Source organism: Homo sapiens, chromosome 8 (assembly GCF_000001405.40).
Source record: "Homo sapiens chromosome 8, GRCh38.p14 Primary Assembly".
In the NCBI taxonomy this organism is placed as follows: Eukaryota; Metazoa; Chordata; class Mammalia; order Primates; family Hominidae; genus Homo; species Homo sapiens.
Window position 1 is genome coordinate 47,454,163 of NC_000008.11, and position 13,020 is coordinate 47,467,182.

Here is a 13,020-nt window from a genome sequence, read left to right on the forward strand (position 1 = left end):
AAGACACATGCGCATGTACGTTTACTGTGGCACTATTCACAATAGCAAAGACTTGGAACCAACCCAAATGTCCATCAATAATATACTGGATTAAGAAAATGTGGCACATACACACCATGGAATACCATGCAGCCATAAAATAGGATGAGTTCATGTCCTTTGTAGGGATATGAATGAAGCTGGAAGCCATCATTCTCAGCAAACTATCACAGGGACAAAAAACCAAACACCGCATGTTCTCACTCTTAGGTGGGAAGTGGAAAATGAGAACACTTGGACACAGGAAGGGAAACATCACACACCAGGGCCTGTGGTGGGGTGCGGGGGTGGGGAAGCGGGGAAGGGATAGGATTAGGAGATATACCTAATGTAAACAGTGAGTTAATGGGTTCAGCACACCAACATGGCACATGTGTACATATGTAACAAACCTGCACATGGTATACATGTACCCTAGAACTTAAAGTATAATAAAAATAAAAATAAAAGACCTGAAAGAAACTGTCAACCAAGATTGTATATCTGAAAACAATATCTTTAAGAATAAAGGAGATGAAGCTGGGCATGGTGGCTTGCATCTATAGCCTCAATGACTTGGGAGACTGAGGGAGGAAGATTGCTGGAACCCAGGAACTTGAGGCTACAGTGTGCTATGAGCATGTGTGTGAACAGCCACTGCATTCCCTCCAGCCCAGACAACACATCAAACTGCTGTCTCAAAAAAAAATAATAATAATAAATAAGAATAAAGGAGAAATTAACACATTTCCAAATATTATAAAACCCTAAGTAGTTCATTACTGATAGACAAAAAATGCTACAGCAAGTCCTTCAGGCTGAAAGGAAGAAATACTAAACAGCAATTTGAAGCCAAAAGAAAAAAATAAAGAGTATTGGTCAAGGTAGTTGCATAGGTAAATGTAAAAGCCAATGTTACTGTGCTTTTGGTATTGTTTGTTATTTCTCTTTTTCCTATATAATTTTATGGGCAAGTGCATTTAATAATACTTACAAATCTATATTAGGATGCATATAACGTATAAAGATATAGTCTGTGACAATCAGAATAAAAAGGGAGGGGGTAGAGATGTAGAGGAGCAGAGTGCTTGTAGACCATTGAAACTTAGTTAGTATTATTCAAAGGATGTTGTTATTTAAGATATTGATTGTAATTTCCCAGAAAATTATTAAGAAAATAACTAATATAGAGAATGGGAGAAAAGAAGCAAATTAAAATGAAACACACACACAGACACACAAAAAAAACAGAAAAATATCTAGTAATGAAGTAATTGAAAAGCAAAAAGTATGTAAGGCATAAGAAAAAAGTGTATAAGGCATAAGGAAAAAGTGAATTTCTTCTCTATTGATAATCATGTAAATGAATGAAATGCAGTTCTTAAAAGGTAGCAATTGGTAGAAAAGATAAAACAAAACAAGAATCCACCTATAAGCCATCTACAAGAGAATCAAATTAAACATAAGGATACAAAATGGTTGATAGCGAAAGAATGAAAATGCTAAAAAAGAACAGGGGTGACTATATTATTATCAGACAAAATTGACTTGTTAAATCTAAAAAAGTTTACAAGGGATGCAGAGGACATTATAAATTGATAAAAGGTTTAACACAGCAAAAACATAAAATAATTTTAAATATATACACACTTAACAAAGGAGCCCCAAAATATATGAAGTAAAAATGGACAGAATTGAAAGGAGAAATAGATCTACGTTAATTGTTGAAGACTTTAATACCCACTTTCAATAATGGACAGAACAAACATGCAGGAGAGCCGTAAGGAAATAAAGGATTCAACAGCTGTATAAACCAATTAGACCTAACATGTGTAAAACATTCCATTCAAAAATATAATACCCATTCTTGAGTGCACGCATTACATTGTCTGGGTTAGACCATATGTTAAGCCACAAAACAAAGTGTTATGAATTGAATTTTGTTCCCCTGCAATTTATATGCTACAGTCCTAACTCCCATTACACCTCAGGCTATATGGAGATAGAGCCTTTAAAGAGGTAATTAAGGTTAGAGTGGGTCCTAATTTAATATGACTGGTGTGCTTATAACAAGGAGATGTATGCACCTAGAGAAAGTGCCATGTGGGGACACAGTGAGAGAGACAAGCCAAGGAGAGAGGCCTCAGAATAAACCAGGCCTACTTAACATCTTGATCTTGTACCTCCAGCATCCAGAAATGTGAGACAATACATTTTGGCTAAGTCACTCAGACTGATATTTTGTTACGATAGCTCTAGCAAACTAATACATTTTAAAACTTTCAAATTACCGAATATCTTTTCTGTTCACAATGGAATGAACCCTAGAAATCACTAACAGAAGGAAACTGTAAAATTAATAAACATGTGGAAATTAAACAACACAGCCTTATATAACCATTTGGTCCAAGGTTTTATTTTCTCTTTTTTAAATTAATTTATTTCCATAGGTTTTTGGGAAACAGGTGGCATTTGGTTACATGAGTAAGTTCTTTAGTGGCAATTTGTGAGACTTTGGTGCACCCATCACCCAAGCAGTATACACTGAACCCAATTTGTAGTCTTTTCCTCACCCACTTCCCACCCTTCCCCAACCCCCAAAGTCCACTGTATCATTCTTACGCCTTTGCATCCTCATAGCTTAGCTCCCACTTATGAGTGAGAACATACGATGTTTGTTTTTCCATACCTGAGTTATTTCACTTAGAATAAAAATCTCCAATCCCATCTAAGTTGCTGCGAATGACATTAATTCATTCCTTTTTATGGCTGAGTAGTATTCCATGGTGTGTATATACACCACAGTTTCTTTATTGACTCGTTGATTGGTGGGCATTTGGACTGGTTCCACATTTTTGCAATTGCAAATTGTGCCACTATAAACATGCATGTGCCAGTATTTTTTTCCTGTAACAACTTCTTTTCCTCTGGGTCAATACCCAGTAGTGGGATTGCTAGGTCAAATGGTAGTTCTACTTTTAGTTCTTTAAGGAATCTCCACACTGTTTTCCATAGTGGTTGTACTCATTTACATTCTCACCAGCAGTGTATTAGTGTTCCCTTTTCACCGCATCCACATCAACATCTATTATTTTTTGATGTTTTGATTATGGCCATTCTTGCAGGAAGTAAGGTGGTACCGCATTGTGGTGTTGACTTCCATTTCCGTGATCATTGGTGATGTTGAGCATTTTTTCATATGTTCATTGGCCATTTGTATATCTTCTTTTGAGAATTGTCTGTTCATATCCTTAACCCCCTTTTTGTTTGGATTGTTGCTAATTTGTTTGAGTTCCTTGTAGATTCTGGATATTAGTACTTTGTCAGATATATAGATTGTGAAGATTTTCTCCCGCTCTGTGAGTTGTCTGTTACTTTGCTGACTGTTGCTTTTGCCATGCAAAAGCTCTTTAGTTTAATTAAGTTCCACCTCTTTGTTTTTGTTGCATTTGCTTTTGGGTTCTTGGTCATGAAAACTTTGTCTAAGCCCATGTCTACTAGGGTTTTTCCGATGTTATCTTCTGGAAATTTTACAGTTTCAGGTCTTAGATTGAAGTCCTTGATCCATCTTGAGTTGATTTTTGTATAAGGTGACAGCTGAGGATCCAGTTTCTCATTGTCTTACATTTGGCTTGCCAGTTTCCCCAGCACCATTTGTGCTGAATAGGGTGTCCTTTCCCCACTTTATGTTTTTGTTTACTTTGTCAAAGATCAGTGGCTGTAAGTATTTGGGTTTATTTCTGGGTTCTCTATTCTGTTCCAGTGTTCTCTGTGCCTATTTTTATACCAGCACCATGCTGTTTTGGTGGCTATGGCCTTATAGTCTAGTTTGAAATCAGGTAATGTCATGCCTCCAGATTTATTCTTTTGGCTTAGTCTTGCTTTGGCTATGTGGGCTCTTTGGTAAATTTTAGGATTGTGTTTTCTAGTTCTGTGAAGAATGATGGTGGTATTTTGATGGGAATTGCATTGCATTTGTAGATTGCTTTTGGCAGTATGGTCATTTTCACAATATTGATTCTACCCATCCATGAGCATGGGATGTGTTTACATTTGTTTGTGTCATCTCTGACTTCTTTCAGCAGTGTTTTTTAGTTTTCCTTGCAGAGGCCTTTTACCTCTTTGGTTAAGCATATTCCTAAGTATTTTATTTTATTTTATTTTATTTTATTTTATTTTATTTTATTTTATTTTATTTTATTTTATTTTATTGCAGCTATTATAAAAGGGGTTGAGTTTTTTATTTGATTCTCAGCTTGGTCATTGATGCTGTGTAGCAGAGCTCCTGATTTGTGTACATTAATTTTGTATCCTAAAACTTTGCTGAATTCGTTTATCCATTCTAGGAGCTTTTCGGAGGAGTCTTTAGGGTTTTCTAGGTATGCAATCATATCATCAGCAAACAGTGACAGTCTGACTTCCTCTTTACTGATCTAGATGCCTTTTACTTCTTTCTCTTGTCTGATGGCTCTGGCTAGGACTTCTAGTACTATGTTGAATAGAAATGGTGAAAGTGGACATCCTTGTCGTATTCCAGTTCTCTGAGGGAATGCTTTCAACTTTTCCCCATTCAGTATTATGTTGGCTGTGGGTTTATTACATTGAGGTACATCCTTGTATGCTGATTTTGCTGAGGATTTTAATCAAAAAGGGATGCCAGATTTTGAGGGATGCCAGCTTTTGTGAAATGCTTTATTTAAACTGTGTCTGTTGAGGTGGTCATGTGATTTTTGTTTTTAATTCTTTTTATGTGGTGTATCACATTTATTGATTTGCATATGTTAAATTGTCCCTGCATCCCTGGTATGAAACACACTTGATCATGGTGGATTGTCTTTTTGATAGTTGGATGCGGTTAGCTAGTATTTTGTTAAGGGTTTTTGCTTCTGTTTTCATCAGGGTTATTGGTCTGTAGTTTTTTTGCATGTCTTATGTGCTTTCCTGGTTTTGTTATTAGGGTGATCCTGGCTTCATAGAATGATTTAGGGAGGATTGCCTCTTTCTCTATCTTGTGTAATAGTGTCAATAGGATTGGTACCAGTTCTTTGAATGTCTGGTAGAATTCAGCTGTGAATCTGTCTGGTCCTGGAAGTTTTTTTTCTTGGTAATTCTTTTATTACCGTTTCAACCTCGCTGCTTTTTATTGGTCTGTTCAGGGTTTCTAATTCTTCCTGATTTAAGCTTCCTGTATCTTTCCAGGAATTTATTCAGCATCCTCTAGGTTTTCTAGTTGATGTGCATAAAGGTGTTTATAGTAGCCTTAGATAATCTTTTGTATTTCTGTGGTGTCAGTCTTGATATCTCCCATTTCTTTTCTAATTGAGCTTATTTGGATCTTCTCTCTCCTTTTCTTGGTTAATCTTGCTAATGATCTGTCAGTTTATCTTTTCAAAGAACCAGCTTTTTGTTTCATTTATCGTTTGTATTTTTTTTGTTTCAATTTCATTTAGTTCTGTTTTGATCTTGGTTATTTCCTTTCTTCTGCTGGTTTGGGTTTGGTTTGTTGTTGTTTCTCTAGTTCCTTGAGGTGTTTCTCTAGTTCCTTAGATTGTCTGTTTGTACTGTTTCAGACTTTTTGTTGTGGGCATTTAAGGCTATGAAGTTTCCTCTTACCACCACCTTTGCCGTCTCCCAGGGCTTTTGATAGGTTGTGTCACTATTATCTTTCAGTTTGAATAATTTTTTAATTTCCATCTTGATTTCACTGTTGACCCAGTAATCATTCAGGAGCAGGTTATTTAATTTCCATGTATTTGCATGGTTTTGAAGGTTCCTTTTGGAGTTGATTTCCATTTTTATTCCACTGTGGTCTGAAAGAGTACTTGATATAATTTCAGTTTTCTTAAATTGATTGTGACTTGTTTTGTGGCCTATCATATGGTCTATCTTGGAGAAAGTTCCATACACTGATGAATAGAATGTATATTCTGTGTTTGTTGGGTAGAATATTTTGTAAATATGTTAAGTCCATTTGTTCCAGGGCATAGTTTAAATCCATTGTTTGTTTGTTGACTTTCTGTCTTGATGACCTGTCTAGTCCTATCAGTGGAGTGTTGAAGTCCTCCACTATTATTTTTGTTGCTGTCTATCTCGTTACTTATGTCTAGTAGTAATTGTTTTATAAATTTAGGAGCTCCAGTGTTAGGTGCATAGAATATTTAGGATTGTGATATTTTCGTTTTGGACAAGGCCTTTTATATTAGGTTGGTGCAAAAGTAATTGTGGTTTTTGCTATTTTTTTCTGTCCTTTTTAACTGCTGTTGCTTTAAAGTTTGTTTTGTCTGTTATAAAAATAGCTACTCCTGCTCAGTTTTGGTGTTCATTTGCGTGGGCTGTCTTTTTACACCCCTTTACCTTAAGTTTATCTGAGTCCTTATGTGTTAGGTAAGTCTCTTGAAAGCAGCAGATACTTCTTATCCATTCTGCTATTCTGTTTCTTTTAAGTGGAGCATTTAAGCCATTTACACTCAACATTAGTATTGAGATGTGAGGTACTGTTTCATTCATCATGCTATTTGTTGGCTGTATACCTTGGTGGCTTTTTTAATTATTATATTTTTGTTTTATAGGTCCTGTGAGACTTATGCTTTAAAGAGGTTCTGCTTTCATGTGTTTCCAGGATTTGTTTCAAGATTTAGACCTCCATTTAGCAGTTCTCATAGTGCTGGCTTGGTAGTGGCGAATTCTCTCAGCATTTGTTTTTCTGATAAAGACTGTATCTTTCCTTCATTTATGAAGCTTAGTTTCACTTGATACAAAGTTCTTGGCTGATAATTGTTTTGTTTAAGGAGGCTGAAGATAGGGCCCCAATCCCTTCTAACTTGTAGGGTGTCTGCTGAGAAATCTGCTGTTAATCTGATCAGTTTTTCTTTTTAGGTTACCTGGTGCTTTTGCCTCACAGCTCTTAAGATTCTTCATTTTGACTTAGATAACCTGATGACAGTATGCCTAGGCAATGATCTTTTGTGATGAATTTCCCAGATGTTCGTTCTTGTATTTGGATGTCTAGATCTCTAGCAAGGCCAGGGAAGTTTTTCTCAATTATTTCCCCAAATATGTTTTACAAATGTTTAGATTTTTCTTCTTCCTCAGGAACACCAGTTATTCTTAGGTTTGGTCATTTAACAGAATCCCAAACTTCTTGGAGGCTTTGTTCTTTGTTTTAGATGGAGTCTCGCTCTGTCACCAGGCTGGAGTGCAGTGGCACAATCTCGGCTCACTCCCGGATTCAAGCGATTCTCCTGCCTCAGCCTCCCAGGTATCTGGGACTACAGGCACCTGCCACCAGGTCCAGCTAATTTTTGTATTTCTAGTAGAGATGGGTTTTCACCATGTTGACCAAGATGGTCTCGATCTCTTGACCTCGTGATCTGCCCACCTTCACCTCCCAAAGTGCTGGGATTATAGGTGTGAGCCACTGCGCCCAGCCTGTTTGTTTTTTAATTATTTTTTCTTTCTCTTTGATGGATTGAGTTAATTCAAAAACCTTGTCTTTGAGCTCTGAGGTTGTTTCTTCTGCTTGTTCAGTTTTATTGCTGAGACTTCCCAGAACATTTTGCATTTCACTGTTTTATTTCCTGAAGTTGTGATTTTTTTTTAATTTATGCTATTTCACTGAAGATTTCTCCCCTCATTTCTTGTATCTTTTTTTTTATTTCCTTAAATTGGACTTTATCTTTCTCTGATGCCTCCTTGATTCGCATAATAATTGGTATTATGAATTCTTTTTTAGGTAAATCAGAGATTTCTTCTTGGTTTGGATCCCTTCCTGGTGAGCTGGTGTGATTTTTGGGGGGTGTTAAAGCACCTTGTTTTGTCATATTACCGGAATTGTTTTTCTGGTTTCTTCTTCTTTGCGTAGGCTATGTCAGAGGGAAGATCTGGCACTCAGGGCTAGTGTTCAGATTCTTTTGTCCCACAGGATGTTCCCTTGATGTAGTACTCTCTGCCTTTTCCTAGGGATGTGGCTTCCTGAGAGCCAAGCTGTAGTGATTATTATTTCTCTTCTGGATCTAGCCATTCAGCAGGGCTGCCAAGCCCTCGACTAGTACCGAGGGTTGTCTGCACAGAGTCCTGTAATGTGAACCGTCTTGAGGTTTCTCTGCCAACGATACCAACACAGTATTTAGGGTGTCTCTTGGGTCCTGAAGGAGCAATCTGCTTCCTTCAGAGGGTCTGTGGATTCTCTTGGCTTTCCTGGTATATTCCTGCAGTAGTTCTGGAGCCAAAGTTCATGATGCGAGTCTCTGTGAGCTGCTGTCTGTCCGGGTGAGGGCTGCAATCTAGTCCTGCCTCCTGTCTATCATTTTCCCCCCAAATCTCCAAGAAGAAACTATTGAGATGAATGAAAACGAAAACATAATGTACTAAAACTTACGGGATGACATGAAAGCATTATGAAGTTGGAAATTTATGGATGTAAGTACATATATTGAAGAAGAGAAAGATATTAAATCAATAACCTATCTGTACATGTTAAGGTACTAGAAAAAAAGAAGAGCAAACTAAATGCAATGCTAGCAGAAGGATGGAAAAAATAAAGATTAGAGTGGAGATGAAAGAGTACAAACATTAGAGAAAATCAGAGAGCATTTCTAAAGACATCACATCTTTGCAGAAGTCAGCAAAATAGACCAAACTTTAGCTAGATTGACCACGAAAAAACTGGTCAAATTACTAGAATCAAAACTGAAGAGACTATTACTGATTTTACAGAAATGAAAAGGATTATATGAGAATCCTATGAACAACTGAACACCAACAAATTGGGTAACCTAGATGAAATGTACAATTTTCTACAAAAACAGTGTGCAAGAACTGACTCATGAAGAAATAAAAAATCTGAATAGACCTATAACTGGTAAGGATATTAAATCGGTAATAAAAACCTTCCAATGGCCGGGCGCGGTGACTCACGCCTGTAATCCCAGCACTTTGGGAGGCTGAGGCAAGCGGATCATGAGGTCAGGAGATCAAGACCATCCTGGCTAACATGGTGAAACCCCATCTCTACTAAAAAATACAAAAAAAATTAGCTGGGCATGGTGGTGGGCGCCCGTAGTTTCAGCTACTCGGGAGGCTGAGGCAGGAGAATGCCATGAACCTGGGAGGTGGAGCTTGCAGTGAGCCGAGATCACACCACTACACTCCAGCCTGGGTGACAGAGCAAGACTCCGTCTCAAAAAAAAAAAAGGAAAAGAAAAAACCTTCCAATGAAGAAAGACTCGCTATCAGATGGATTCATGAGTAAATTCTACCAAACATTTAAAGAAGAATTAACACCAGTTGTTCTCAAATTCCTCCCAAAAATTGAAGGGAAAGGACCACTTCCTAACTCATTCCCTGAGGCTAGCATTACCCTGTTAAAAAAAAAATAGACAAAGATTTTACAAGAAAACTGGAGACCAGTATCCCTGATGAATATTGATGAAAAAATCCTCAACAACATTCTAGCAAATTGTATTGAGCAGCAGATTAAAAGAGTTATACCCCATTTCCAAAAGGGATTTCCCAGAATACAAGAATAGTTCACAAAAACCAATTCATGTAATATACCACATTAATGGAGTGAAGGAGAAAAACCATACAATTGTTTTAATTGATGCAGGAAAAGCATTTGACAGAATCCAGCACTTTGTGATAAAAACACTCAACAAACTGGGAACATAAGATTACTTCCTCAGCCTAACATACAGCAGTTATGAAAAACCCATAGCTAACATACCAAATGATGACAACTTAGAAGCTTTCCCTCTAAAATCAGAAACAAGGCAAAGATGGTTGCTTTCACCCTTCCATTTAAGATAGTATTAGAAGTTCTGACCAAAGCACTTAGGCAAGAAAAAGAAAAGAATCTAGATTGGAAAGAAAGAAAGAAAATTATCTCTATTCAGAGATGGCATGACCTTATATGTAGAAAACCCTAAAGATTATACACACACACACACACACACACACACACACACACACACACACAGAGCACGTTAGTAAATTGAGGAAAGTTGCACAATGCAGATTAATATACAAAAATTAGTTGGATTTTTATCAATAGCAGTGCATAATCTAAAAAATGAATTTAAGTAAACAGTATCGACTACAATAGTATTTTTTAAAAACCACTTAGGAAAATAAGTAGATGCCAGACTCTTACAATAAAAACTACAAAACAAATTTGGGCAAGATGGCCAGCTAGATGCAGTTAAGGTGGAACAGCTGTCACCAAGGAACCGGGAAGACCTGGTGCATTCCTAACAGATCTTCAGAGGGAAGGTACTGACAGTGGATGGAAGGAATAAACAGAAGCTGGGCTGAAGGGATAGGAAGCTGGGAACCCGACACAGGGCTACTGCATACTGGGACTCCTTCCTAGCCCCTGGTGACTCTGGGGGAATGGCTGAGTTGAACTGACAAGCAGCAACCTGCTCTCACCACAAGCCTCTGGAATCCCAGGAGGCAAAGAACCCTTTTGTCTTGTCTAGTCCTGTCCTGTCCTGTCCTGTCCTGTCCTCTCCCCTCCCCTCCCCTCCTGTCCCATCCCATCCCGTCCTTGCCTCGCCTCACCTTGCCTCATTTTTCTTTTGTTTTTTTCTATTTTGAGGAGGAATCTTGCTCTGTTGCTCTCTCTGTCACCCAGGCAGGAGTGTCTTGGCAAAGTTTTGCCTCACTGCAACCTCAGCCTCCCGGGTTCAAGTGATTCTCCTGCCTCAGCCTCCCAAGTAGCTGGGACTAGAGGCATGCACCACCACACCTGGCTAATTTTTGTATTTTTAGATGACGTTTCACCATGTTGGCCAGGCTGGTCTTGAACTCCTGACCTCAGGTGATCCACCTGCCTCGGCCTCCCAAAGTGCTAGGATTATGGGCATGAGCCACCGGGCCTGACCACTCAACATTCTTAAAGAAAGAAATTCCAACCAAGAATGTCATATCCAGCCAAACTAAGCCTCATAAGTGAAGGCAAATAGGATCCTTTTCAGACAAGCAAATGCTGAGGGAATTTGTTACTACCTGACCTGACTTACGCAAGCTTCTGAGGCAAGCACTAAGTATCTAAAGGAAAGACCATTATCAGCCACTACCATAAGTTACTTAAGTACACAGAGCAGTGACACTATAAAGCAACCAGACAAGTCTACATAATAACCAACTACCATCATGATGACAGGATCAGATCCACACATATCAATACGAACCTTGAATGGAAATAGGCTAAGTGCCCAAATTAAAAGGCACAGCGTGGCAAGCTGGATAAAGATTCAAGGCCCAATAGACGGCTGGGCACGTGGCTCAAGCCTGTAATCCCAGCACTTTGGGAGGTCAAGGCGGGCAGATCATTTGAGATCAGGAGTTTGAGACCAGCCTGGCCAACATGGTGAAACCCCATCTCTACTAAAAATACAAAAAAATTAGCTGGGCGTGGTGACATATGTCTGTAATCCCAGCTACTGAGGGAGGCTGAGGCAGGAGAATCACTTGAACCTGGGAGATGGAGGTTGCGCTGAGCCAGGATCACACCACTGCACTCCTGCCTGGGCAACAGAGCAAGACTCCATCAAAAAAAATACATAACAGACCCAGTAGTATGTTGTCTTCAAGAGACCCATCTCACATGCAGTGACACCCATAGGCTCAAAATAAAGGGATGAAAAGAAAAATCTACCAAGCAAATGGAAAACAAAAAGGCAGGGGTTGCAGTCCTCATTTCAGACAAAATGACTAAACCGACGAAGATCAAAAAAGACAAAGAATCACATTACATAATGGTAAAGGGTTCAATTCAACAAGAAGACATAACTCCCCTAAATATATATACACCCAACACAGGAGCACCTAGATCCGTAAAGCAAGTTCTTGGAAACCTTCAAAGAGACTTAAACTCCCACACAATAGTAGTGGGAGATTTCAACACCCCACTGACAATATTAAACAGATCATCAAGGCAGAAAATTAACAAAGATGTTCAGGACCTAAACTCAGCACTGGGTCAGATGGACCTGATAAACATATACAGAACTCTACCCAAAAGCTACAGAATATACATTCTTCTCATTATTACATAGCACATACTCTAAGATTGACCACATAATTGGACATAAAACACTCTTCTGCAAATGCAAAAGAAGTGAAATCATAACAGCCATTCTGTCAGACCACGGCACAATCAAATTAGAAATCAGGGCTAAGAAATTTGATCAAAACCGTACAATTACATGGAAATTGAGTAATCTGCTCCTGAATGATTTCTGGGTAAATAATAAAATTAGAGCTGAAATCAAGAAGTTCTTTGAAACTAGTGAGAACTAAGATACAGCATACCAGAATCTCTGGAACATAGCTAAGGCAGTGTTAAGACGGAAATTTGTGGCACTAAACACTCACATCAAAAAGTTAGAAAGATTGGCTAGGTGCAGTGGCTCACGCCTGTAATCCCAGCACTTTGGGAGGCCAAGGCAGGCGGATCACTTGAGGTCAGGAGTTCAAGACCAGCCTGGTCAACATGGTGAAACCCCGTCTCTACGAAAAATACAAAAAAAAAAAAGTTAGATTCCAATTTAACAACCTGGCATCACAACTAAAAGAACTAGAAAACCAAAAGCAAACCAACTCAGAAGCTAGCAGAACATAAGAAATAACCAAAGTCAGAGCTGGACTGAAGGTAATCAAGACATGAAAAACCTTTCAAAAGATCTAGGAGTTAGTTTTTTTTGAAAAAAAAAAAAAATATATATATATATAGATAGATAGATAGATAGATAGATAGATAGATAGATATAAAAAATAGACTGCTAGCTAGACTAAACAGAAGAAAAGAGAAGATCCAAATAAACACAATTAGAAATCACAAAGGTGATATCACCACTGACCCCACAGAAATACAAATAACCATCAGAGAATATTATGAACATCTCTATGCAAACAAACTAGAAAATGTAGAGGGAATGGATAAATTCCTGGATGCATGCACCCTCCCAGGATTGAACTAGGAAGAAATTGAATTTTTGA

The 13,020-nt window shown here is 38.2% G+C and overlaps 1 protein-coding gene across 55 annotated transcripts in view; it reads left to right on the plus strand.

Annotated features, from left to right (window-relative positions):
* The window catches only part of SPIDR (scaffold protein involved in DNA repair), a 475,429-nt gene that overhangs the window by 193,285 nt on the left and 269,124 nt on the right, over positions 1 to 13,020 (plus strand). The window lies entirely within an intron of this gene.